At 55.3% G+C, this 23,237-nt stretch overlaps 2 protein-coding genes across 4 annotated transcripts, besides 13 other annotated features; both read right to left on the bottom strand.

Moving 5' to 3' along the window:
• Positions 2,311–2,863: an enhancer, noted in NCBI's record as "H3K4me1 hESC enhancer chr19:46385156-46385708 (GRCh37/hg19 assembly coordinates)". NCBI's record gives its function as "activates a minimal SCP1, AML or CMV promoter by ChIP-STARR-seq in primed H9 embryonic stem cells {active_cell/tissue: H9 hESC(primed)}" and the evidence as "EXISTENCE:reporter gene assay evidence [ECO:0000049][PMID:30033119]".
• Positions 3,288–3,432: an enhancer, noted in NCBI's record as "145 bp enhancer 100 fragment used in the MPRA reporter construct; PK_construct_218". NCBI's record gives its function as "activates an SV40 promoter by MPRA in HepG2 cells {active_cell/tissue: HepG2}" and the evidence as "EXISTENCE:reporter gene assay evidence [ECO:0000049][PMID:23512712]".
• Positions 3,353–3,366: a transcriptional cis regulatory region, noted in NCBI's record as "HNF1 motif; enhancer activity is reduced when this motif is scrambled". NCBI's record gives its function as "necessary for full MPRA enhancer 100 activity {active_cell/tissue: HepG2}" and the evidence as "EXISTENCE:site-directed mutagenesis evidence [ECO:0005528][PMID:23512712]".
• Positions 3,416–3,967: an enhancer, noted in NCBI's record as "H3K4me1 hESC enhancer chr19:46386261-46386812 (GRCh37/hg19 assembly coordinates)". NCBI's record gives its function as "activates a minimal SCP1, AML or CMV promoter by ChIP-STARR-seq in primed H9 embryonic stem cells {active_cell/tissue: H9 hESC(primed)}" and the evidence as "EXISTENCE:reporter gene assay evidence [ECO:0000049][PMID:30033119]".
• Positions 3,636–3,735: an enhancer, noted in NCBI's record as "active region_14825". NCBI's record gives its function as "activates an Ori minimal core promoter by ATAC-STARR-seq in GM12878 lymphoblastoid cells {active_cell/tissue: GM12878}" and the evidence as "EXISTENCE:reporter gene assay evidence [ECO:0000049][PMID:35858748]".
• Positions 3,968–4,519: an enhancer, noted in NCBI's record as "H3K27ac-H3K4me1 hESC enhancer chr19:46386813-46387364 (GRCh37/hg19 assembly coordinates)". NCBI's record gives its function as "activates a minimal SCP1, AML or CMV promoter by ChIP-STARR-seq in primed H9 embryonic stem cells {active_cell/tissue: H9 hESC(primed)}" and the evidence as "EXISTENCE:reporter gene assay evidence [ECO:0000049][PMID:30033119]".
• IRF2BP1 (interferon regulatory factor 2 binding protein 1) lies at positions 4,021–6,554 on the bottom strand. The gene has a single exon (NM_015649.3). It carries the CDS (start codon positions 6,185–6,187, stop codon positions 4,433–4,435), a length of 1,755 nt encoding a protein of 584 aa, NP_056464.1. The 5' UTR covers positions 6,188–6,554; the 3' UTR covers positions 4,021–4,432.
• Positions 5,809–6,048: a silencer, noted in NCBI's record as "silent region_10802". NCBI's record gives its function as "represses an Ori minimal core promoter by ATAC-STARR-seq in GM12878 lymphoblastoid cells {active_cell/tissue: GM12878}" and the evidence as "EXISTENCE:reporter gene assay evidence [ECO:0000049][PMID:35858748]".
• Positions 6,089–6,568: a silencer, noted in NCBI's record as "silent region_10803". NCBI's record gives its function as "represses an Ori minimal core promoter by ATAC-STARR-seq in GM12878 lymphoblastoid cells {active_cell/tissue: GM12878}" and the evidence as "EXISTENCE:reporter gene assay evidence [ECO:0000049][PMID:35858748]".
• Positions 6,729–6,878: an enhancer, noted in NCBI's record as "active region_14826". NCBI's record gives its function as "activates an Ori minimal core promoter by ATAC-STARR-seq in GM12878 lymphoblastoid cells {active_cell/tissue: GM12878}" and the evidence as "EXISTENCE:reporter gene assay evidence [ECO:0000049][PMID:35858748]".
• Positions 7,029–7,268: an enhancer, noted in NCBI's record as "active region_14827". NCBI's record gives its function as "activates an Ori minimal core promoter by ATAC-STARR-seq in GM12878 lymphoblastoid cells {active_cell/tissue: GM12878}" and the evidence as "EXISTENCE:reporter gene assay evidence [ECO:0000049][PMID:35858748]".
• Positions 7,329–7,378: an enhancer, noted in NCBI's record as "active region_14828". NCBI's record gives its function as "activates an Ori minimal core promoter by ATAC-STARR-seq in GM12878 lymphoblastoid cells {active_cell/tissue: GM12878}" and the evidence as "EXISTENCE:reporter gene assay evidence [ECO:0000049][PMID:35858748]".
• Positions 10,436–23,026, bottom strand: MYPOP (Myb related transcription factor, partner of profilin). 3 transcript variants are annotated; one of them, XM_047438749.1, is made up of 4 exons: positions 22,983–23,026; positions 21,688–22,238; positions 12,583–12,692; positions 10,436–11,736 (listed from the first exon to the last, which is right to left on the bottom strand). In XM_047438749.1, exons 2-4 carry the CDS (start codon positions 22,184–22,186, stop codon positions 11,374–11,376), a joined length of 972 nt encoding a protein of 323 aa, XP_047294705.1. In that variant the 5' UTR covers positions 22,187–22,238; positions 22,983–23,026; the 3' UTR covers positions 10,436–11,373. The 3 variants fall into 3 exon arrangements, with proteins under 3 accessions (XP_047294705.1, NP_001012661.1, XP_047294706.1); NM_001012643.4 differs by lacking the exon at positions 12,583–12,692; XM_047438750.1 differs by lacking the exons at positions 10,436–11,736; positions 12,583–12,692 and adding an exon at positions 14,882–16,045.
• Positions 22,789–22,838: an enhancer, noted in NCBI's record as "active region_14829". NCBI's record gives its function as "activates an Ori minimal core promoter by ATAC-STARR-seq in GM12878 lymphoblastoid cells {active_cell/tissue: GM12878}" and the evidence as "EXISTENCE:reporter gene assay evidence [ECO:0000049][PMID:35858748]".
• Positions 23,029–23,078: a silencer, noted in NCBI's record as "silent region_10804". NCBI's record gives its function as "represses an Ori minimal core promoter by ATAC-STARR-seq in GM12878 lymphoblastoid cells {active_cell/tissue: GM12878}" and the evidence as "EXISTENCE:reporter gene assay evidence [ECO:0000049][PMID:35858748]".

A 23,237-nucleotide genomic window follows, 5' to 3' on the forward strand; every position in this document is an offset into this window, starting at 1 on the left:
GCTCCGTGTTGAGAACACACAGATAAATGTCGGTCCCAGCGGGTTCTATGCCGTTTCTGTCTCATTTGCTCCATCCCTTTACCCTCTGCTTGAAAGCTCCCACCTTTTCCTATTAAAACAAAATTCAGGCCAGGTGCAGTGGCTCACGCCTGCAATCCCAGCACTTTGGGAGGCCAAGGCGGGCGGATCACTTGAGGTCAGGAGTTCGAGACCAGCCTGGCCAACATGGTGAAATCCCGTCTCTACTAAAAATACAAAAATTAACCGGGTGTGATGGTGGGCGCCTGTAATCCCAGCTACTCAGAAGGCTGAATCAGGAGAATGGCTTGAACCCTGGAGGTGGAGGTTGCAGTGAGCTGAGGTCGTGCCACTGCACTCCAGCCTGGGTGACAGAGAGCAAGACTCTGTCTCAAAAAATATAAAAAACAAAATTCAAAGTCCTTATCACAGTGTACAGGTCCTCTTACTGCTCCCCCACCATCCCTCTGATTCAATTTCCTACTACTGTCCCCCAGCACTGGTCACCTGGTTGCTTCTGGGACAAACCAAGCAGGCTCCCACCTCAGGACCTTTGCAGGTGCTATTTACACAGATTTCTGCTGGCTTACTCCCTCCCCTCCTTCAGTTCTTAGTGTCACGTGCTCAGTGAGCTCTTCCCTACATCCCTTTCTAAAATAGCAACCCCAACTGGACACGGTATCTCATGCCTGTAATCCCAGCACTTTGGGAGGCTGAAGCAGGCAGATCACATGAGGTCAGGAGTTTGAGATCAGCCTGGCCAACATGGTCAAACCCCATCTCTACTAAAGATACAAAAATTAGCCAGGCATGGTGGTGCGTGCCTCTAGTCCCAGCTACCCGGGAGGCTGAGGCAGGAGAATTGCTTGAACCCGGGAGGTGGAGGCTGCAGTGAGCTGGGATCGCACCACTGCACTCCAGCCTGGGCGACAGAGCGAGGCTCTGTCTCAAAATAAATAAATAATAAAATAAAATAGCAACCCCGGCTGGGTGCGGTGGCTCACACCTGTAATCCCAGCACTTTGGGAGGCTGAGGCGGGCAGATCGTTTGAGCTCAGGAGTTTGAGACCAGCCTGGCCAATATGGTGAAACCCCATCTCTATTAAGATAAAAAAAAAGAAAGTAAAATAGAAACCCCCATCACTCTTTATCCCCTTTCCCTGGTTTATTTTTTCTTCTTAGGACTGACCATTCTAAGTGTCTTTTTTTTTTTTTTTTTTTTTTTGAGACAGAGTCTTGCTCTGTCACCAGGCTGGAGTGCAGTGGCATGATCTCCGCTCACTGCAACCTCTGCCTCCCGGGTTCAAGTGATTCCCCTGCCTCAGCCTCCCAAGTAGCTGGAACTACAGGCGTGTGCCACCACGCTTGGCTAATTGTTTGTATTTTGGTAGAGACGAGATTTCACCGTGTTGGCCAGGATGGTCTTGATCTCCTGACCTCGTGATCTGCCCGCCTTGGCCTCCCAAAGTGCTGGGATTACAGGCGTGAGCCACTGCGCCCGGCTGGCTGTCACATTTTATGGTCCTGTTTCCATCTCTTACCTGAATGCCAGCTCCATGAGAGCAGGGGCTGGATTCTGTTTCCTGCTCCATCCACATTATCTCCCCCAGTGCTTGTCACATGGTGGATGCTGAATAAACACTTGTTGAGGAAGAGAAGCAGTCCATTAATCTATCCATCCCTTAAGCTGACCCTGTGCTGGGTGATGCTGGGGACGCAGTGGTGATCAAGACAGCCCTGGCCTTGCCCTTTTGGGGCTCACAGTCTGCTTGCCAGACAGCAACACTCCAGAATGGACAGGGCTGGGATTGGGGGAGCACAGAGGGATATGTGGGGTGCAGAAATGGCAGCTGATGCAGCCTGGGGGTCAGGCTTCTTGGAGGAGGTGCCTTGACTGGGGACTAAATGACCCAAACAGATCCAACCTTGCACTTCCTCCAGTTCCCTGCCTGTCTCACAGAACTTTCGAGTTTGATGATGTCATCACTCTAGTTCACACCTGTGCCTTTTCCTGATTTCAGTCTTTCTCATCTCTCCTTTTTTTTTCATCTCTTTATTGCCTTCTCTCTGCATCTCAGTCTCCCCTCTTTTGCATCTCTGTTGTTGGCAGCTCATCCGTACATCTCAGTCTCGCTCAACCCATCAGAATATTGTCCATTTCCTTTTCTTTTCTGTCTCTCCTTCTCTGTGTCTGCCTCATCTCTGAGGCTCTCTGGAGTCTCTCCCTGTCTCACTGGGTCTCCGGCTTCTGCGTCTCCTTGTCTCGTTCAGTGAGCTGGTCTCTGCATCTCTCCCTCCCCACCTCTGTTGTCTCCCATCATTCCCTGAGTGTCTCTCTGCGTTTCCCCTATCTCCAAGTCTCTCTACCTGCTTCCTGATTCCCAAATAAATCCAGAACCCCTCCACCCTGGCCCCACCCTGGCACTGGGGGAAGGGGGGCTGATCCAGCCCCCACACCCACACAGGTCAGGCCTTCTGCTCTGTTAATGGTTAACTCAACCTCTATCTAGAATACACACCAGCCAGGCTGGGGGTGACTCCCCTGCCCCCCACCCACCTACCAGCTGTTCTTAAAGGACCAGGTGTCCTCCACAGCAATTTAGCTCCCGCTGGGACATAGGAGCCAGGTGTCTGGAGGCCTCCAGCTGTAAAGATTTGGGGGTGGGGGAGATACCCGGCACTTGGGTCTGCAGAGCTGGGTCAGGGGAAGCCACAGGCTTGCCTGGGAGGGGAGCCCAGGCACAGGAGCTCCATCCAGGTCTCTCTTGCCCCAGGCTTATCACCTGGTGTATTTAATCAGGGGTGGTTTTCCCAGCCCTGCCCTGAGCCCAGGCTGGCAGTGCCAGGGGTGGCAGAACACCTGAGAGCTGACGGCTGGGGGGTGGGGAAGGATGGGACCCCTCAGTCCAAGAACAGAGGGTCCTCCAGATGCGAAGGTTGAAGCCCTAGGATCCCTAATATCTGGGAGTTAGGACATGTAGGTATGCAAGTATGGGTGGGACCCCTGGGTAACCGAGCTGATGGGTCAGGACTTTAGGGGCCTCCAGATTCAGGTGATGGGAACCCTGGGTTCCCGAGGACATCTGGGGGCAAACTTGGATCCCAGAGCTGTCTGACAGTGCTGGGTGGTGGTTGGACAATCATTCCCTATCTCTCTGTCCATCCGCGGGCCTCTGAGCCCCGCATTCCCCCTTCCCGGAATCTCCACCTTAGCTTGGCCGGGGAGGCCGCAGGGGTGGGGGCTGGGCTCTTGGGGCCGCCCCCTCCCCTTAACCCCTGCTTTGCCGCAGCCCGCTCAGGCCCCGCCCCGTGACGCCAGCGAGCAGGAAGTCCTGGTTAATGATCAGCCACCCGGACAGGTGCGGGACAAGGCCGCGCACATCAGAAGCAGCCGCGGAGCGAGTGCCTTTCACTCTGCTCTCTAGGGTGGCCGCCAAAGGGGCTTGTCTCCCAAGACGAGGGTGAGGAATCCAGCTGGGGCTTCCCAAACGTCCGCCTCTGGGGCACCGCCAGAGGCAAGAAGTAGCCAAGTTGTTTCTAGGCATCCTGTTAGTTTACCCCGTGGAGGTAAATTTCCTCTTTCCTCGGGCAGTCCCTCTAGCAGTCTACCCTAAATTCTCCCTTCTACCCGGCAAGAACCCACTGCCCATGTCTTCTAGGAAGCCTCCCGCTGCCTCTTTCCCCTCCCCACGTAGGCGCTGAGTCCTCCACCTTCCAGGTAGAGATAGGGGATGGGTCAGCTACAGAAGGGTAATCTACTCCCAAGCCTGTCTGTGGCTCCCCTGCAGGAGCCATCCCCTCTCTGAGCCTCAGTACTTTTATCTGGAAAACGGGCCGATGGCTGAAACGTGACCAGTGGGTCGCACTTGTTGAAGGTCGGCCGGCGGGACCGCCTGGGTGCAGGGCGCCACCTGGAGGCTACCGCGCAACGTCCTCGCCCTCGCAGGACCAGTTCAGTCCCAAAGGGGGCGCAGCATCTCACACAACTAAGGGACCAAGAAGGAAAAAAAAAACCCATCTTTCGGTTTATTGAAGGAGCAGAAGGGAGCGGGGGGTGGGGGGGTGGGAATTAAATGCTTTTGCCTCGTTTATAAAGAGCGAGTTTTCAGGAGGTCCCTTCTCAAGGAGGAGGGGGGCACCTCTCCCCCAACTACAAGCAGCAGCAAAGCCAAGCCAAGGAGGACAGAGGGAAACTGGAGGGGCCAAGGGACCCCAAACACCCCCTCGGACAGGAGCCACAAGCTTTCTCCCCCCACCCACAATGCATCTACCCCAGGGGACCCATCTGGGTGGAAGAAGGGAGTATGTACACAGATAGAGGTGGCACTGGGCTGGGTCGGGGAGGGAATAATTTATCCGCGGCAGCGGTGGGTGGCAAAGGGGCAGAGGGCAGTAGCCTGGAGGCAGTGGTAGCCTAGGGGTCCCGTTCTTTCTTAACTTTGATGTCTCCAGCAAGGATGGTGGCGATCTCGCCCTGCATGAAGGCCCAGGGCACGGAGGAGCCGACCAGCGGGCACTTGTCTCCGCTCGGGCAGTACACCTCCCCGGCCGGGCCCTGCGCCTTGATGAACTCCCGGGAGCAGGGAAAGCAGAACTTGTGTCCGGGCACCGAGGGGCACTGGACGAAGTGGGTGTCTTCTAGCCGCTCCCTGCACAGGGTACAGCACAGGGGGGCCCCAGGGGTCGCCCCAGTGCCGCTGCCACCCCCGCTGACAGCTTCGGCCCCCGCTGTGGGACTGACTTCTGCTTCGCCGTTGCGGGCCACAAGGCGATGCTGGGTTGGCGGCTGGGCCGTGGAGGAGGCTGCAGGGCTGGCGCCCCCTGCACGCACAGGCCCCCCGCCTCCGCCAGGGTCCTTGGGTGAGTGGCCCAGGGCTTCGGCCACATTCTTCAGGGCGGCAATGGGCGAGGGCACACCAGGGGTCTCAGCGGAGTACGGGCCGCCGGGTGCCACCCAGTGCCGTTGCTGCTGCTCCTCGGTGGTCATCTTCCCAGCCGCCTCGCCCTCCGGCTCGGGGGATGCCTTGCGACGGCGCGGCGTGGGCGCCAGGTTCCGGGATGGGGCTCGCGGGGGTGGGCCACAGAGAGCCGCAGGGGCCGGCTCTGGGTACTGCTGGGGCAGGGCCTCCGCGGGAGCTGGCTCGCGGAAGCTGCGGACGCCGTCGGTAAGCAGCTCGCCCAGCTGCCGCCATTCTCCTGATCCATGCCGGCGTTCATATTCGAGGTACTTGAAGCCCGAAGAAGCCAGTGCCTTGCCCGGCTCCCGCAGAGCATCGTGGAACATCTGGCGAGCCACTGCCAGGACGCCGGCGTACACATTGCCGGAACCACAGGGGTATTCGGTGAAGAGCTTCAGCTCGAACTCGTATCCTGGAGGACGGGCAGTAGCATCGAAGGCGAACACTCGCCCCACCAGCCCGTGATCCTTCTTGAAGCGCACATTGAACGGGGCGCAGGCGGACAGCGCCAGTAGCTGTTCCCGCACTGCTTTGGGGCGCCCGTGCCATTCCTCTGCCCGGCCTCGCATGGCCTCGTTCAGTTCTGCCAGACAGTCCGCATTCCTCTGCTGCTTCTCTTTCTCGAAATCGGAGCCGAAGAGGGGACGGGCAGGACTCAAGCCGGGTGCCAGCGTCAGGCCTCGGCTTCCCAGGCCAGACACTGCAGCTGCCAGCAGCCCAGGGGGCATCAAGCCAGGCATGGAGCCAAGCAAGGCCCTTCGCGCCCCCTCAGCCACGGCCTCCTCACGGCCCAGCCCATTGGCCAGGCGGGACCCCAGAGTGTACTCCAGGGCGGGCGAGGGCAGGGGGAGGCGGCCTGATGATGTGGCCCTGTCATAGCGGTCCTGGCCCGACACGCCGCCGCCGGTCCCTGACGGCTGGGGCTGGGCCTGCGGGGGCGGCAGCTGGGGCCCCTGTGCGGCTGCCGCCGCCAGGTCCTTGGTGGCCGGGTGCTTAAGGGCCGGGGGCCCGGGCGAGCGGCCCTCGGGGAGCACGTGGCTGCGCTTGAGCTGGCGGGCGGCATCGATGAGCAGTTCGATGCGGTCCGCGCCCTCGAAGTTCACGCAGCCGCGACACACGGCCTCGCTGAAGTCCCACACCATGGCCCACGGCATCTTGGGCAGGTCGCACAGGTAGCACCACTGGCGGCGGGACGCCTGCACAGACGCCATGGCCCCAGTCCGCGCGCCGCCCAGCTCCCGCGTTCCACCGGCCGCCGACGTGCGATCCGCGCCGCCAACGTTCGATCCGCGTCCCGGGGACAGCGCGAGCCACGGTCCGGCCTCCGGCTCGGCCTCCCCGCCGGATCCAGGCCCGGCCCCCCTTCCCCGCCCCCTGGGCCCTAAGCCTTTCTGCTCACTCCCGCCTCCCTCGCGAAGGCAGGCTGAGGCACGTCGGCGCCCCCGCCCGGTCCGGGCTCCGAGCCGAGGCGCACAGCTCGGGCCCCACGATGGGCCGCGAGCGCCGCCGCCTCGGGCTCCCGCCGCTCTCGCCGCCGCCGCTGCAACGGCCGCCGCCGCCTCCACCTCCTTCTTCTGCCCCAGAGGCCGCTTCGCAGGGAAAGTTACATAACACGCCTGCAAAGCCTTCTGGGAAACGTAGTCCCGCCGGGGCCGGCTCTTAAAGGGAACGGCGGGCAGACGCGGGCTGGGGGGGTTGTCGCCTCTGCCGGCGCAAACCTTACAACCTTCTCCGTGGGGCCGGAGTTCAGCGCGCCGCAAGATGCTGGGACACAAAGGTGGTAGGCGAGGATGCAATACAAATGATCAGAGCTACTCCGGATTCAGAAATTGTGGGGGTGGGTGGACAGGCTTCCGGGCTTCCAACTTCTGCTCGGATTTGCTGTGCAGCTTTAGGCAAAATGTCTTGCCCTCTCTGAACCTCAGTTTCCCCGCCCAGCAAAGGTGGGCCAATGACGGATTAGGAAAGTAGCAGCTTCTGGGGCGGGGCGGAGAAGCCCTGATTGGCTTCAGAGCAGGGACGGGAAGCTGGCAACTAGGTGGGGGTGGGGGTGGCCACCTGGCACTTCGTCCTCCCCCCGGAATCCTAGATATATGCTTCTGGGGCCCGCCACAGCCAGAGAAGGGAGAGGACTAAGGGCTTCCGAGCCAGAGCCTTGTCTCAGTTGTTTCTCTGCTAAAAGAGTGGGGCGACTGGCCGCCCTCTAACCCTGTCCCAGCTCTGCCCGCGCGCTCTGGTCTCTAAAGGGTTACACCATCGGGGGCTCGGCGTCCCCCACCCGCTTCACTACAATTCCCAAAATGCACTGCGGGTCGGACATAGTGACGCACTTCCGCCCTCTGGGAGGTTTGGGGAGGCCTTCCAGATTCACGCTACTTTCCCGGCTACCCCCCGCCCCCCCACTTTTCTGGGGGCTCTTTACGTGCATTCGGAGCGTGGCGTTTGGGGGACCCTTATCTTCTGTTGCTCCCCAGTTTGAGGGAAGAGTAAGGGGTTAAGAAGTGACGGGCAAGAGGAGGGAGTTGCTGGGGAAGGGCAAACACCAGACCAACCTTTCCCCAACCTTGAGCGCTCACTACCTGGAAGGCCCAATCAGGCTGTGAGGACCCTTCTTCTTTCCCAGGCATTGGGAACTGGACGAGGCTGTCTTTGGGGAAGGGCGGAGGCGGGTCTCCAGGTTCCAACCCACAACAGCCCCTTTCTCTAGGCCTGGGTCCGTGTTAGGTGCTCAAAAATATTTGAATGACGTACCAGTTGGCCCTGGTTTTGTCTAGTGAGGGGCTGCTTGTCCCTTCTCCTCCCGTCCCACTGGAACCGCAGCAGCTCTGATTCTGTTACCCAGACCTCACAATTTTAAAATGGTTTCACAATTTTGTCTACTACCTGTATTTGAACACTTTTCTCCCTTAAAAAAAAGATTTATCAGGCTGAAGTGGGAGGATTGCTTGAGCCTGGAGATAACAGGCTACAGTGAACCATGATTGCGTCACTGCACTCCAGCCTGGGCAACAGAGCAAGATCCTGTCTCAAAAAAATAAATAAAAATAAAAAGATTTATCTATTTTTGCCTCATCCTAGGTAATACGTTCACAATCATGGGTTTCATGTACTGTGGTTACCTTAAAAAAAATTAGTGAAAACTATCGACTCATTCAAGAGGACATTAATATGTCACTTAAAGTTGCCTTTGGGCTATTATTTACGAAACACTAATGGGAGTTAAGGCTTCTGGCCAGATTCAGCCTTCAGGTGGACTGGATTGGCCTCTGACCAGCTGTGGCCTTGGGCCAGTTTCTAAACTTCTTGGAAAAAATGGAGACCCCCTCCAGTCTCCTTTTATTTGGGTACCTTCAGATTGAATGCAAACATGCATATAAATGCTTAGCTTGGTGCCTGGCACAGAAAATAAGTGCCACAAATGGAAGTTGTTTTTAAGCTGGACAGTTATTCAAATATTCAACCCCTCTTCCATGCTGGGCAATGCTGGGGACATAGCAGTGACTGAGACAGGCTTTAAGCCTTGCCCCTGAGAAGCCCCAGCCTGGTGATGGAGGCAGATAGTAAATTTACTCAAATGATGAACTAAAATTTGTGATGACTGCGGTGGGGAATGTGTGTCAGGAAAAGCTTTCCTGGCCATAGTGGCTCATGCCTGTAATTCCAGCACTTTGGGAGGCCGAGGAGGGCGGATCACTTGAGGTCAGAAGTTTGAGACCAGACTGGCCAACATGGTGAAACCTTGTCTCTACTAAAAATTAAAAAATTAGGGGGCCGGGCGCGGTGGCTCACGCCTGTAATCCCAGCACTTTGGGAGGCCGAGGCAGGCAGATCACAAAGTCAGGAGATTGAGACCATCCTGGCTAACACGGTGAAACCCCGTCTCTACTAAAAATACAAAAAATTAGCCAGGTGTGGTGGTGGGCGCCTGTAGTCCCAGCTACTCGGGAGGCTGAGGCAGGAGAATGGTGTGAACCCGGAAGGTGGAGCTTGCAGTGAGCCAAGATCGAGCCACTGCACTCCAGCCTGGGCGACAGAGTGAGACTCCATCTCAAAAAATAAAAATAAAAAAAAAATAAATAAATAAAATTAGGCCGGACAGTGGCAGTGGCTCACATCTATAATCCCAGTACTTTGGGAGCCCTATCACTTGAGGTCAGGGGTTCGAGATCAGCCTGGCCAACACGGTGAAACCCCCATCTCTACTAAAAAGTACAAAAATTAGCCAGGTGTGGTGGCGCACACCTGTAATCCCAGCTACTCAGGAGGCTGAGGCAGGAGAATTCCATGAACCCAGGAGATGAGTTCACACCACTGCACCTCCAGCCTGGGGGACAGATGCAAGACTCCGTCTCAAAAAAAACCAAAAAACAACAACAAAAAAACAAAAAACTAACTAAATAAGTAAAAATACAAAAATTGGCCAGGTGTAGTGGCACACGCCTGTAGTCCCGGCTACTTGGGAGGCTGAGGCAGAAGAATCACTTGAACCCGAGAGGCAGAAGTTGCAGTGAGCCAAGACCGCGCCACTGCACTCCAGCCTGGGCGACAGAGGGAGACTCTACCTCAAAAAAAGAAAAAAAAAAAAGAAAAGTATAATCTAATTATAGGAAGAAAGACTCTGACATCTTTATGTCCATTCTACAGATGAGGACACTGGAAGCCAATGGTTACACAGTTGGCCAGGGCAGCACCAGTACTTGAGCCACGTCTTGAGTCCAGAGTGGTGGTGATTATCTACTTTGTTACCTGGCCCTGCAGCAGAGTAAAAGAACCAGTTCCTGCCTTCATGACATTATGGGCAAATGTGCCTTAAATAGATAAAGGCCTGTGTTCATTTAGAGTCACTATGAAAAAGAACCCAGCTGTGTGTGGTGGCTCATGCTTGTAATCCTAGCACTTTGGGAGGCCGAGGTGGGAGGACTGCCTGAGCCCATGAGTTCCAGATCAGCCTGGACATCATAGAAAACCCCATCTCTAGAAAAATAAAACAATTAGCTGAGCATGGTGGCACATGCCTGTGGTCCCAGCTACTTGGGAGGCTGAGGCAGAAGGATTGCTTCAGCCTGGGAGATCGAGGCTACAGTGAGTTGTGATCATGCCACTGCACTCCAGCTGGGGCAACAGAACGAGATCCTATCTCAAAAAAACGGAAAGAAAAGAAAAGAAAGGAAAAGAAAAAGAAAAAGAACCACAGGACACTGAAAGAGACTCTAAGAGGCAAACCCACGTTAGCCTTGGGGAAGGAATCTAGGACTTTCTCCTGGAGTTGACATTTAGACTGGTATCTAAAGGAAGAGTAGGAATAAGATTTCATGTAAACACAAGACTTGATGGCTTTAAGAATTAAAAAAAAAAAAAAGCTGGAAAACCACCAGCCTCCCAATTGCCTGCCTGTGGAGGGGGCGGGGCAGGTGTAGGTGCTGGTCCCCCAGGCCTGTCTCAGACAGAGCCTCAAGTAATTGTATTAAAAATAAGTTTATTGATATCTTGTCACCACTGGGAGAAAGGAGGGGGTTGAGCTCTGGAAGTCAGAGACAGCAATGGTAGGCAGAGAACCCAACCTGTACCTCTCCCATCAGAACTCGGCGCCTCCTCTCCCTGGGGTATACACGGCTATATCCTCTTTGTCATCCGTATTTTGATTTGTCTTACAACTCCCACCCGCTCCAAAGTCTGGGTTGGGGAGGTGGGGAGTCCCCCACGGGTCAATTCTCTTCAAGTCAAGAACAGGAACTGTTAGGGAAGGGGAGATGTGCAGACCCGAGAGGTTCCCTCCCCACCCCACATAGGGCAATAATAAATAACATGAAATTGATGGCTTAGAAGTCAGGGTTAAGGGAGGCAGCCAGGCAGACAGCACTGTACCAGAGAAAGGGGTTGGGGGGGCCCATTACTGAGGCCCCCCCCAGAGAATCAGGCACTAACTAGCACAGGGAGTGGGTGCTCACATCCCTGGAGCAGGGAGCTAGGGTGCAGCTGGGATGGGCAGAGAGCATCGCCCCCCTCGACTGCGCCAAGCTGGGGAGAGGGGTTGCAGGCAGGATCATAGATAGTAGATTTCACGGAGATTTCCATCGGCCGCGCCTTTTCCGTGTAGGGAAACCTTTTCTCCGCTTGTGTGGGGGGGAGTCGTGCGGAGGGAGCGGGGCTGGGGGGGGCCGGGGTGCCCCCTCCTCGCTCCTTGGGGCAATGATCACTCCCCTGGCTGCCACCACTGCCCCGTCCACCACAGCAGCCACCACGGACACGGGCTCTGGGGTGATCTCCACCTTGGGGGCCGGTGGGGGCAGGACAGGCCTGGGAGGTGGCGGTGGGGGTGGGGGTGGGGGCAGAGGTGGAGGCAGGGAGTCAACTGGGGTTCCTGGCAGAAGGGGCAGCAGAGCGCTGAGGGCCTCGCTCAGTTTGGCCAGTCCCTGTCGAAGGGTGCCGGCCAGCTCCCGGATGGCGTTGGCAGTCTCCTGCTGGGCCCGCAGGAAGTCCAGGGAGGGGTCTGAGGCCGAGAGCGTGGGTGGAGGCCGAGGAGGGGGTGGGGGGCTAGGGGGTGAGGGTGCCACTTGGGCCAGTGGCGGTGGGGGTGGCAGTGGAGGGGCTGGGGGTGGTGGAGACAAGGCCAGGCGAGGCAGCTGGACCGGCTGCAGGGCCGAAGGGGGTGGTGACTCACGCTCCTTGGGCCGTGGGCAGCCCCCTTCCTGGGGAGTGCAGGAGGGCCGGGCCCATGGCTCCGGGCTGCTGGAGCCCGCCTTGCTGTGGGCTGATGTATCTGTAGAGAGAGAAATACAGGTAAGGGGTGAGCGACCCTCGATGCTGCCTTGATTTCCCCTTTCCCACTCCTTCCCTCACCTCCCCCCTACCCGAACCCAGAACTATCCTTCTCACCCCCGCCCCCCAGCCCCAAGACAGTCTTGGTCTGTCACCCAGGCTGTAGTGCAGTGGTGCAATCTTGGCTCACTGCACCTTCCACCTCCTGGGTTCAAGCGATTATCCTGCCTCAGCCTCCCGAGTAGCTGGGATTTCAGGTGACCGCCACCACACCCGGCTACTTTTTCTATTTTTAATAAGAGACAGGGTTTCACCATGTTGGCCAGGCTGGTCTCGGACTCCTGACCTCAGGCGATCCGCCCGCCTTGGCCTCCCAAAGTGCTGGGATTCCAGGTGTGAGCCACCGCGCCTGGCCCCAGAATGATCCTTTTAAAACCTAAGTCAGATCATGCCTTGGAAGAGAAGCTCCATGGCAGGCCAGTCTTTGTACCCGGAGGAGAAAAAGTCCTGCCAGCTTTAGTGGAAACAGGTCCTGGAAGTCCCTTGCTAGGCCAGGCAGCTCCCATCTCACTCACAGTAAGAGCCAACAGTTTTTTTATTTTTTTAATTTTTTTTGAGACAAAGTCTCACTTTGTAGCCTAGGCTGGAGTGCAGTGGCGTGATCTCGGCTCACTGCAACCTCTGTCTTCCGGCTTCAAACGATTATCCTGCCTCAGCCTCCTAAGTAGCTGGGATTACAGGCAGGCGCCACCCCGCCTGGCTAAATTTTTGTATTTTTAGTAGAGATGGGGTTTTGCCATGTTGGCCAGGTTGGTCTCAAACTCCTGACCTCAAGCAATCCACCCACCTCGGCCTCCCAAAGTTCTGGGATTACAGGTGTGAGCCACTGCGCTCGGACAAGGGCCAACATTTGACGAGGTTCTGAACTATATGGATACTGCACCACACTGCTGGATCCTGAGGAAGTGAGAGAGAGGTCTGGGAGAGAGCTGGGGTGTCTGGGCACTGGTGGACACTTCCCTGAGACTCTCTCCAACCAGGACAGCAGGATTTTCCAGTTCAGCCCCCAGCCTGGTAGGTTTCCTCAGTCTGTACTCACCTGGGGTCTCATTCATGCTCATGGGCTTGAACAGTTTGCATACAGGGGCTCCCAGCTTCCTGGGCTCAGCCTGAACCTCTCGCCTGGGCTCCAGACTCCTGTCTCCAGCTGTGTACTCTCAATTGTCGAAAAACGCCCCAAACTCACTTGCTCGGAGCTGGGCTTCTGATCCTCCCCCACCCTGCTCCTTCCTCAGCCACCCCCATCTCAGCTGATGCAGCTCCATCCTCCCAGCTGCTCAGGTTAAACACCTTCACTGTTTTGTTTACTAAGACACCATCCACATACAGAAGCTATCGTCTCTGCCTTCAAATTAAATACATACAACTTCTTTCTTCCTGGTCCCCCACCCTGGCCCAACCACCAGTATCTCCCACCAGGACCACTGCAGTCATCGCCTCCCTGAGGGCTCTCTGCTTCCACCCCTGTCCCTGACAGTATCTTTTTCCACCAGCAGCCTGAGGGGTCCAACCAAAATACAAGTCAGTTAGGCTACGGGAAACAAGCTAGTCACAAAGAACCACAGATCACAGGGGCCATTTATATGAAATGTCCAAAATAGGCAAATTTGGCCGCATGTGGTGGCTCATGCCTGTAATCCCAGCACTTTGGGAGGCCGAGGCGGGTGGATCACCTGAGGTCAGGACTTCAAGACCAGCCTGGTCAACATGGTGAAACCCCATCTCTACTAAAAATACAAAAAATTAGCCGGGCATGGTGGCATATGCCTGTAATCCCAGCTACTGGGGAGGCTGAGACAGGAGAATCGCTTGAACCCGGGAGGCGGAGGTTGCAGTGAGCCATGATCGTGCCATTGCACTCCAGCCTGGGCAACAGAGCGAGACTCTGTCTCAAAAATAAAAATAGGCCGGGTGTGGTGGCTCACGCCTGTAATCCCAGCACTTTGGGATCTGAGGTGGGCAAATCACCTGATGTTGGGAGTTTGAGACCAGCCTGACCAACATGGAGAAATCCTGTCTCTACGAAAAATACAAAGTTAGCTGGGCATGGTGGTGCATGCCTGTAATCCCAGCTACTCAGGAGGCTGAGGCAGGAGAATCGCTTGAACCCGGGAGGCAGAAGTTGCAGTGAGCTGAGATTGCATCATTGCACTCCAGCCTGGGCAACAAGAGCGAAACTCCGTCTCAAAAAAAAAAAAAAAAAAAAGGCAAATCTATAGAAACAGAAAGTAGATGAGTGGCTGCCGGGGGCTGGGGGAAGACAGGGAAGATGGGAGATTGGGGATGGCTAAGAGGTGCAGGGTTTCTTTCTGGAGTGATGAAAATGTTCTAAAATTGATCGTGGTGATGGTTGCATAACTCTGAATATACTAAAAGCCATTGAATTGTACGCTGTATTTTATTTTACTTTTTTTTTTTTTTTTTGAGATGGGAGTCTCACTCTGTCGCCCAGGCTGGAGTGCAGTGGCGCGATCTCAGCTCACTGCAAGCTCCGCCTCCTGGGTTCACGCCATTCTCCTGCCTCAGCCTCCTGAGTAGCTGGGACTACAGGCGCCCGCCACCACGCCCGGCTAATTTTTTGTATTTTTAGTAGAGACGGGGTTTCACTGTGTTAGCCAGGATGGTCTCGATCTCCTGACCTCGTGATCTGCCCACCTCAGCCTCCCAAAGTGCTGGGATTACAGGCATGAGCCACCGCGCCTGATCCTGTACACTTTATTTTTAATTTTTATTTATTTTTTATTTTTTGAGACGGAGTCTCGCTCTGTCGCCCAGGCTGGAGTGCAGTGGTGTGATCTCGGCTCACTGCAAGCTCTGTCTCCTGGGTTCACACCATTCTCCTGCCTCAGCCTCCCGAGCAGCTGGGACTACAGGTGCCCTCCACCACGCCCGGCTAATTTTTTTGTATTTTTAGTAGAGACGGGGTTTCACCATGTTAGCCAGGATGGTCTCAATCTCCTGACCTTGTGATCCACCTGCCTTGGCCTCCCAAAGTGCTAGGATTATAGGCGTGAGCCACCGTGCCTGGCCTTAATTTTCATCTTTTTTTGAGACACAGTCTTGCTCTCTCGCTCAGGCTGGAGTGCAAAGGTGAGATCTCGGCTCACTGCATCCTTAATCTCCCCAGCTTAAGCGATCCTCCCATCTCAGCCTCCTGAGCTTCTGGGACCACAGAGGTGCGACCCCACACCAGGATAATTTTATTTTTTTGTAGAGATGAGGTCTCACTATGTTCCTCAGGCTGGTTTCAAACTCCTGGTCTCAAGCAAATCGTACACTTTGAGGTGATTGTATAGTGTGGAAATTATATCGCCATATATATATACATTTTTTTCTTTTTTCTTTTTTTTTTTTGAGATGGAGTCTCATTCAGCTGCCCAGGCTGGAGCTCAGTGGTGCGATCTCGGCTCACTGCAACCTCTGCCTCCAGGGTTCAAGAAATTCTCCACCCTCAGCCTCCTGAGTAGCTGGGACTATAGGTGCACACCACCATGCCCAGCTAATTTTTGTATTTTTAGTAGAGACGGGGTTTCACCATGTTGGCCAGATGGTCTCGATCTCTTGACCTCGTGATCCACCCACCTCAGCCTCCCAAAGTGCTGGGATTACAGGTGTAAGCACTGCGCCCGGCCTTATATTGCAATATAATTGTTTAAAAAAACACAAGTCAGATATTGTTTCTATGCTCAAACCGTCCTGTGGCTCTCACCTCACTCAGGGTAAAAGCAAAGTCCTTGAGGCCTCTAGGGCCCTGCACGATCTTCCCCCATTGCCTTCCTGACCTCAGCTCCCATCCCTCCCTCTTGGGTTACCTGGCTGTAGCCACGGTGGCCTCCTTGCTGATCCTCAAACACATCAGGCCTACTTCTTTTCTTTTTTTTGAGACGGACTCTCATTCTGTCGCCCAGGCTGGAGTGCAGTGGTGCAATCTCGGCTCACTACAACCTCTGCCTCCTGGGCTCAAGCGATTCTCTCACCTCAGCCTCCTGAGTAGCTATAGCTGGGACTACAGGTGTGCACCACCACGCTTGGCTAATTTTTGTTTTGTTTTTGTAGAGACAGGGTTTTGCCATGTTGCTCAGGCTGGCCCCATCTCCTTCTTTTTTTCTCCCCTAACCCTACCTGATTCCTCTCCCAGCACTTATCTCCACCTGGCACGGTATGGCTCTGTGTCTGCTGTCTGTCTCCTCCTCCTGATGTCAGCTCCATCAGGCAGGGCTTTGTATTGCTCCCTTCTGTTTACCCGGCGCCTAGAACAATGTCCAGCACAACATTTTTTCTTTAACGAGAAAAGAACTGGGGCTTCCAGAGACTCAGCGCTGATTGGGTCCCAGGCCCCAGAGTGCCCAGCACCCACAGGAGAAAGTCCAGCCTCTTCCCACGGCTATGGGGCCTCAGCACTTGCCCCCAACTCCGCCTGTCTTCCCACATGTCGTTCCCTGGGCCAGGCTCACACTGCCTCTTGCATCAGCTTGGATGTTTTTTTGGATGTTCCTTCCTCGGGGAAGCTGGCCTCCTGCTCCTTGGCCAAATCAGATCACCCTGCTCTTCTCTCAAAAACAGCCAGCCAAAGAAAGAGAGAAGATAGAGAAAAAAAAAATAACAAAAACAAAAAACCAACCATCCAGGCCGGGTGCGGTGGCTCAGCCGGTAATCCCAGCACTTTGAGAGGCCCAGGCAGGCGGATCACCTGAGGTCAGGAGTTTGAGACCAGCCTGGCCAACATGGTGAAATCCTGTCTCTACTCAAAATACAAAAATTAGCCGGGTGTGGTGGTGCACGCCTGTGATCCCAGCTACTTGGGAGGCTGAGGCACAAGAATCGCTTGAACCCTGGAGGCCGAGGTTGCAGTGACCCAAGATCACACCACTGCACTCCAGCTTGGGCGACAGCAAGAACCTGTCTCAAAAACAAACAAGCAAGCAAACAAATCAGCCACCTCCTACCCTGACTGCTGGGAGTCCAGCCTCCCTGGGCCAGCCACCAGCAGGAGGTAGGGAGGCTGGGAGACAGATGAGTAGAGCGGACAGTGACAGGACACCTGCTCCCGCCAGGCCCTGGGCTAAGCTCCCCTCTTAAGTGATTCCACCTAGTCTTCCCAGCCATTCTCTGGGGTAGGTGCTACCATGATCATCGCCCCATTTTATAGATGAGGTGATTTGAGGCTCAGAGAGAGGTGTCATAGAGTGATATGCAGAAAAGGGATTTGAACCCAGGTTGACTCCAGAGTCCATTCTTTTTTTTTTTTTTTTTTGAGACGGAGTCTCGCTCTGTCGCCCAGGCCGGACTGCGGACTGCAGTGGCGCAATCTCGGCTCACTGCAAGCTCCGCTTCCCGGGTTCACGCCATTCTCCTGCCTCAGCCTCCCGAGTAGCTGGGACTACAGGCGCCCGCCACTGCGCCCGGCTAATTTTTTGTATTTTTAGTAGAGACGGGGTTTCACCTTGTTAGCCAGGATGGTCTCGATCTCCTGACCTCATGATCCACCCGCCTCGGCCTCCCAAAGTGCTGGGATTACAGGCGTGAGCCACCGCGCCCGGCCTCTTTTGTTTTATAGAGATGGGAGCCTCGCTATATTGCCCAGGCTGGTCTCAAACTCCTGGCCTCAAATGATCCTCCCGCCTTGGCCTTCTAAAGTGCTGGGATTACCGGTGTGAGCCACTGCTCCTGGCCAGAGTCCATGGCCTTTTTTTTTTTTTGAGATAGAGGCTCACTCCATCACCCAGGCTGGAGTGCAATGGCGTAATCTCAGTTTCCTGCAATTTCTACCTCCCAGTGCAAGCAATTCTCCTGCCTCAGCCTCCCGAGGAGCTGGAATTATAGGCATATGCCACCATGCCTGGCTAATTTTTGTATTTTTAGTAGAGACAAGGTTTCACCACATTGGCCAGGCTGGTCTCAAACTCCTGGCCTCAAGGGATCCGTGTACCTCGGCCTCCCAGAGTGCTGGGATTACAGGTGTGAGCCACCACACCAGGCCAGAGTCCATGCTCCTAACCATTCCTTGGGCAAGGGCTGTGGGCCTGGGGTGTGAGTGACAAATCTTCCTTATAAGGAACGTGGGAATTGCAGAAACGTGGCTTTTCCAGTCTACTGAGTAAAAAGGAACAGAAAGTAGCCCAGCCTTCATGCCCACAAGGCTCACAGGAGTCACAGCAGTGCCCCTGCAAGAGTTTGTTTTTGGTTGTTTTGAGGAAGGGTCTCACTGTGTTGCCCAGGTTGGAGTGTAGTGGTGCGATCATGGCTCACTGCAACCTCCGCCTCCCAGGTTCAAGGGATCCTCATGCCTCAACCTCATGTGTAGCTGGGACCAAGGCGCCGGCCACCATGCCTGGCTAATTTTTGGATTATTTTGTAGAGATGGGGTCTCACTTTGTTGCCCAGGCTGGTCTTGCCCTCCTGGGATCAAGCAATCCTCCCACCTCAGCCTCCCAAAGTGCTGGGATTACAGGCATGCCTCTGTGCCTGGCTTCCACTGTTTAAAAGTTAAAATCATATTTATTTGCAAACTTTGGATCTCAGTTTCCCTACTTGTTTTCTTTTCTTTTTTTTTTTTTTTAAGACGGAGTCTCGCTCTGTCACCCAGGCTGGAGTGCAGTGGCACAATCTCGACTCACTGCAACCTCCACCTCCCAGGTTCAAGTGATTCTCCAGCCTCAGCCTCCTGAGTACCTGGGACTACAGGCGTGTGCCACCACGTCCAGCTAATTTTTGTATTTTTTAGTAGAGACGGGGTTTCGCCATGTTGGCCAGACTGGTCTTGAACTCCTAACCTCAGGTGATCCGCCCGCCTTGGCCTCCCAAAGTGCTGGGATTACAGGCATGAGCCACCGCAGCTGGCCCTCAGTTTCCCTACTTGTAAATGAGTGTGTGAGCTGGTACTACACAGAGTGCTGGGATTTCAGGCGTGAGCCACCATGCCAGGCCTGTGTATGGTTCTTTTTTTTGTTTTTTTTTGAGACTGAGTTTTGCTCTTGTTGCCCAGGCTGAAGTGCAATGGCGCGATCATGGCTCACTGCAACCTCTGCCTCCCGGGTTCAAGCGATTCTCCTGCCTCAGCCTTCCTGAGTAGCTGGGATTACAGGCATGCGCCACCACGCGTGGCTAATTTTGTATTTTTAGTAGAGACGGGGTTTCTCCATGTTGGTCAGGCTGGTCTCGAACTCCCGACCTCAGGTAAGCCACCTGCCTCAGCCTCCCAAAGAACTAGTATTACAGGCGTGAGCCACCGTGCCTGGCCAGGCCTGTGTAAGATTCTAATCGAGGATGCTCTACGCGTGTTCCTGCCTCAGAGCTTTTGCACGTGCTGTTTCCTCTAGTCTAGCAGGAGTGCCCTTCTCCCAGATGTCTGTCAGGCCTACTCTATTCCCATCTCTACTTGAATTTCACCTTCTCAGAGAAGCCCTCCCTGATTACCCTGTCTGTATAGCCCCCTTCCATGACTCACCATCCTCTGAATATGACTTATTTATCCTCTTAGTTCTCACCACCTCCTGGTATACAGTCTGTTTTGGGACTTCTTTGTGGTCTGTTTCCTCCAACTACATAGAATGTCAGCTCCAGGTCGGGTGTGGTGGCTCACGCCTGTAATCCCAGCACTTTGGGTGGCCAAGGCGGGCAGATCACCTGAGGTCGGGAGTTCGAGACCAGCCTGACCAACATGGAGAAACCCCATCTCTACTAAAAATACAAAATTAGCCAGGCATGGTGGCGCATGCCTGTAATCTCGGCTACTCGGGAGGATGAGGCAGGAGAATTGCTTGAACCTGGGAGGCGGAGGTTGCGGTGAGCCGAGATTGCGCCATTTCACTCTAGCCTGGGCAATAAGAGCAAAACTCAGTCTCAAACAAACAAACAAACAAGCAAACAAAAAAAGAATGTCGGTTCCATAAGGGAAGGGGATTTTGTCTTTTTCTCTACATTATTCCCTGCACCTACCACAGCGTCTGCCTTGGATGAGGTTCTCAATATATATTTGCTAAACGAGTGAATGAAGTGGTAACAAGTTTCTGAAAAAATAAGTTGGCCATCTCTGCTCTGGTCCTATGGGGCCATCTCACAGATGGAAACACTGAGGTTTGATTCAAGGTTTGAGAACAAGGGTCCCATGTGATTGTGTCACCTTCCTGCTTAGGAGATTTTCATGCCTCCTGAATGCCCTCAAGAGCAAGTCCAGGCCGGGCGTGGTGGCTCAGGCCTGTAATCCCAGCACTTTGGGAGGCCGAGGTGGGTGGATCACCTGAGGTCGGGAGTTCCAGACCAGCCTGGTCAACATGGTGAAATCCCATCTCTACTAAAAATACAAAAATTACCTGGGCATGGTGGCAGGCACCTGTAATCCCAGCTACTCAGGAGGCTGAGGCAGGAGAATCACTTGAACCTGGGGAGGCGGAGGTTGCAGCAAGCCAAGATTTCGCCACTGCACTCCAGCCTGGGCAACAGAGCAAGACTCCGTCTCAAAACAAAAAACAAAACAAAAAAAATAGTAAGTCCAAATTCCTGACCTTGACTTCCAAGCCACGTGTAATCTAATTCTGGCACACTCATTAACTCCTGGTCAATATTAACTCTTGTTATTGCTGGGCAATCTTGCTCAGTGGTTAAGTGCCATGGACTGGGGGTTGGACGCACACTTATGCTTGAGTCCTGACTCTGTCACTTACTTGCTGTGTGACCTTGGGTGGGTGAATGAACCTCTCTGAATCACATAATCTTGAACTGTCTTGTTTGATCATGCCCATGTTCCTCCCCTTCTCCAAACTCTTCAGTGGCTTCTCATAGCAGTCAGGATAAAATCCAAACTCCTCACCTTGGCCTAAAGGCCCAGTATGGTCTGGCCTTTGCTGACCTCTCTGAACTCATCTCAAAATGTTACTTTTCTTCAACCTTTCCACTCTACACTCTTTTCCCCGCAACTTCTTTTAGTTTCCCAAACTGGCCAAGCTTTCTTGCCTCCAAGCCATTGTACATGCTGTTCCCTCTACCAAAAATACTTTCCCAGTTCTTCATTCTTACTCTTTGCATCTCAGCTCTGATGTCCCCTCCTCCAGGAAGCCCTCCTGGACCACCCCCCCCCCCACCGAAATCAGAAACCCTCTCTGGGCTCCCACAGTCCCTGGGATCCCCTACCCCAGCCCTGCTCCCTCAAGTCATCACCGTCTTCCCCACCCCCCTACTAGACTGGCTCAGTCATCCATGTGTCCCCAACCTCATCGAGCATGGGGCAGGTGCTCAGGGAACGGCTGTAGAAGAAATAATCCAGAATCAAGGCTAAGCAGGAAGTTTCTGTAGTCAGCTCTCCACACCTCTATCCAAGGCATGACCTTGGGAAAATTACCAAACATGTCTGAGTCTTTTATTTATGAAATAGTGAAATAGTATGCATCTTACCGCATTGATGATTCTATCAAGAACTAACAATGAGAGTTGAGGAGGTGCTGAACTAAGCAACTTACCCATATTAGCTCATTTAATCTTCACAGCAACGCTTTGAGGTGCAGACTATTTTTATCTCCATTTTACAGATGCAGCAACTGAAGTACAGTAACTTACTCAGATGACACAGTTCAGTGGCAAAGTTGTGATCGGAGCCCAGGCAGCCTGCCTCCAGAGTCACTACTCGACACTGCATTTAATGAAATCCTGCCTGTGCTGATGACCCCAGGTGTGGACCTGAGTCAGGCCTCCTAAATCTGGTTCCATTCCTGGCTCTTGACAGTTACTAGCTATCGGAACTGAGGCAAGTCATTTCATTTTTCTGAGCTTCAGTTTCCCTAGCTATAAAATGGGGCGAAGGACAGCATCCACCTCACAGGGCTGCAGCAAGGCTTTGATGAGACATGTAAAAGGCTTGCAACAGCGCAGGCACACAGCCTACTCTGAAGACACTCACCTGCACGTCGGTCCTCCCGGCGGTCTTCCGACAACACGTAGCGCTGAGGGCAGGCGCTTGGGGGCGGCGGCTGTGAAGAGGGGGCCGCAGGGGGCTCCTCCGCCCCAGCACCTGCCCCCGGCGCCGCCACACCTGGCCCCAGGATGGCAAAAATGGTCTCCTCTTCCGCGGAGAAAGCGTCCTCCGCGGCGGGCCCGGCGCCCTGCGTGGAGTGCGGCACGCGAGCGAGCTTCTCCTTGGTGCGGCGCTTGAAGTCGTTCCAGCGCTTCTGCACCTCCTGGCCCGTGCGCTTCCAGCTGGTGATACCGTTGATCTTGGCGGCGATGCCGTCCCACACGCGCCGCCGCTCTGCCACGCTCACCCGACGGCTCTGCGCGCCGTAGAGCTGCGGGTAGTGGGCGCGCACCTCGCGGATCAGGATCTGGTTCTCTTCGAATGAGAAGCGCGGCTTGCGCAACCGGGTGGTTTCCTCCGCTTCGCCCGCCGCCGCCGAGGCCATGGCGCCCCCCGACGCCGCCGTCCTGCCGTCTGGCGCATGGGGGGCGCCGGCGCTGCGGGCAAAGGGCGCACGGGGCTGGCTGGGGTTCGGGGTCCCCCCGCCGCCGCCTCTCCCAGACCGCCGGGCCGAGAGCTCCTTAGTCCCCGGGGGCAGGAGTGGGGGCGGGGGGCGGGCGGGGGCGACGGGCACCCGGGTAAGTCGGAAGCGCCTAAGAGTAGCTGACACCGGCTGAGCGCTTGGCTCGGACTTCGCGCGGCGCGAAGTGCCACGCTGAAGAGTTGATAGAAATTGGGGGAGGGTCTGGAGGGATGGAAGGAAAGGAGGAAAAGTGCGAGGAGAGGAGGTGTCTGCAGGAGTTAGAGAATGGGGGCACGGGAGGATAGGAAATGGAGGGAGGATGGGGGTGCCTCGGGGGGGTCTTAGATGCATGAAGATAAGGAGATGCGGAAGGGGGGATGCAGCAAGAAGGGGGGAATCTGGAGCAGAGGAGGCGCTCTAGGGGCTCTAGGGGGCAACGGGGCGTCTGTAAGACCGATATGAGAAGGGCCCTTAGAGGGATGTCCAGGAATAATGGTGAGGTGGGAGCTCCTGTATCACTGGAAGAGCTGGAACGATCAAATATTAGGGATCAGGGTCTGCGAGGATTGTGGGGGCTCTGGGGATTGCCAGAAATTAAGGGGAGCTCTGGAAATAACGGGGGTCCCGTATCACAAGGAGACAACGGAGGCTACGGGGGACGGCAGGGAGAGCGAAGGTCGCGGAGGGTGGGGACCGAGTCGGGCCACGGGTCACTCACCGGCTCCGCCGCAGCCGCCGGTGGGTCAGGGCTCGGGCTTCTGCGGCCTGTTCCCACCCCCCGCCTCCCTCCCTCCCCTCTTTCGGCCCCGCCTCCGGCCGCCCCGCATGCCAAGGCGCAGGCGCGCCCAGGGCCAGTCGGCCCCAATGCCCTTACCGCCAGGGTTTCATTCCCACCTACCCCAGCACAGCGCAGGCGCAGAACTGCGCTCCGCCGAGCCCCACCAGCAGGCCGCAACTGCGCAGCCGCAACGTT

This window comes from Homo sapiens, chromosome 19 (genome assembly GCF_000001405.40).
Source record: "Homo sapiens chromosome 19, GRCh38.p14 Primary Assembly".
Taxonomy (NCBI): domain Eukaryota; kingdom Metazoa; phylum Chordata; class Mammalia; order Primates; family Hominidae; genus Homo; species Homo sapiens.

Bases quoted from the DNA above. Each gene is read 5' to 3' on its own strand.
- IRF2BP1 (NM_015649.3), bottom strand. From the start codon at position 6,187: ATGGCGTCTGTGCAGGCGTCCCGCCGCCAGTGGTGCTACCTGTGCGAC.
- MYPOP (NM_001012643.4), bottom strand. From the start codon at position 22,186: ATGGCCTCGGCGGCGGCGGGCGAAGCGGAGGAAACCACCCGGTTGCGC. The intron at 11,737-21,687 runs GTGAGTGTCTTC...CTCTCTCTACAG, and splicing joins CCGGGAGGACCGACGTGCAG to ATACATCAGCCCACAGCAAG.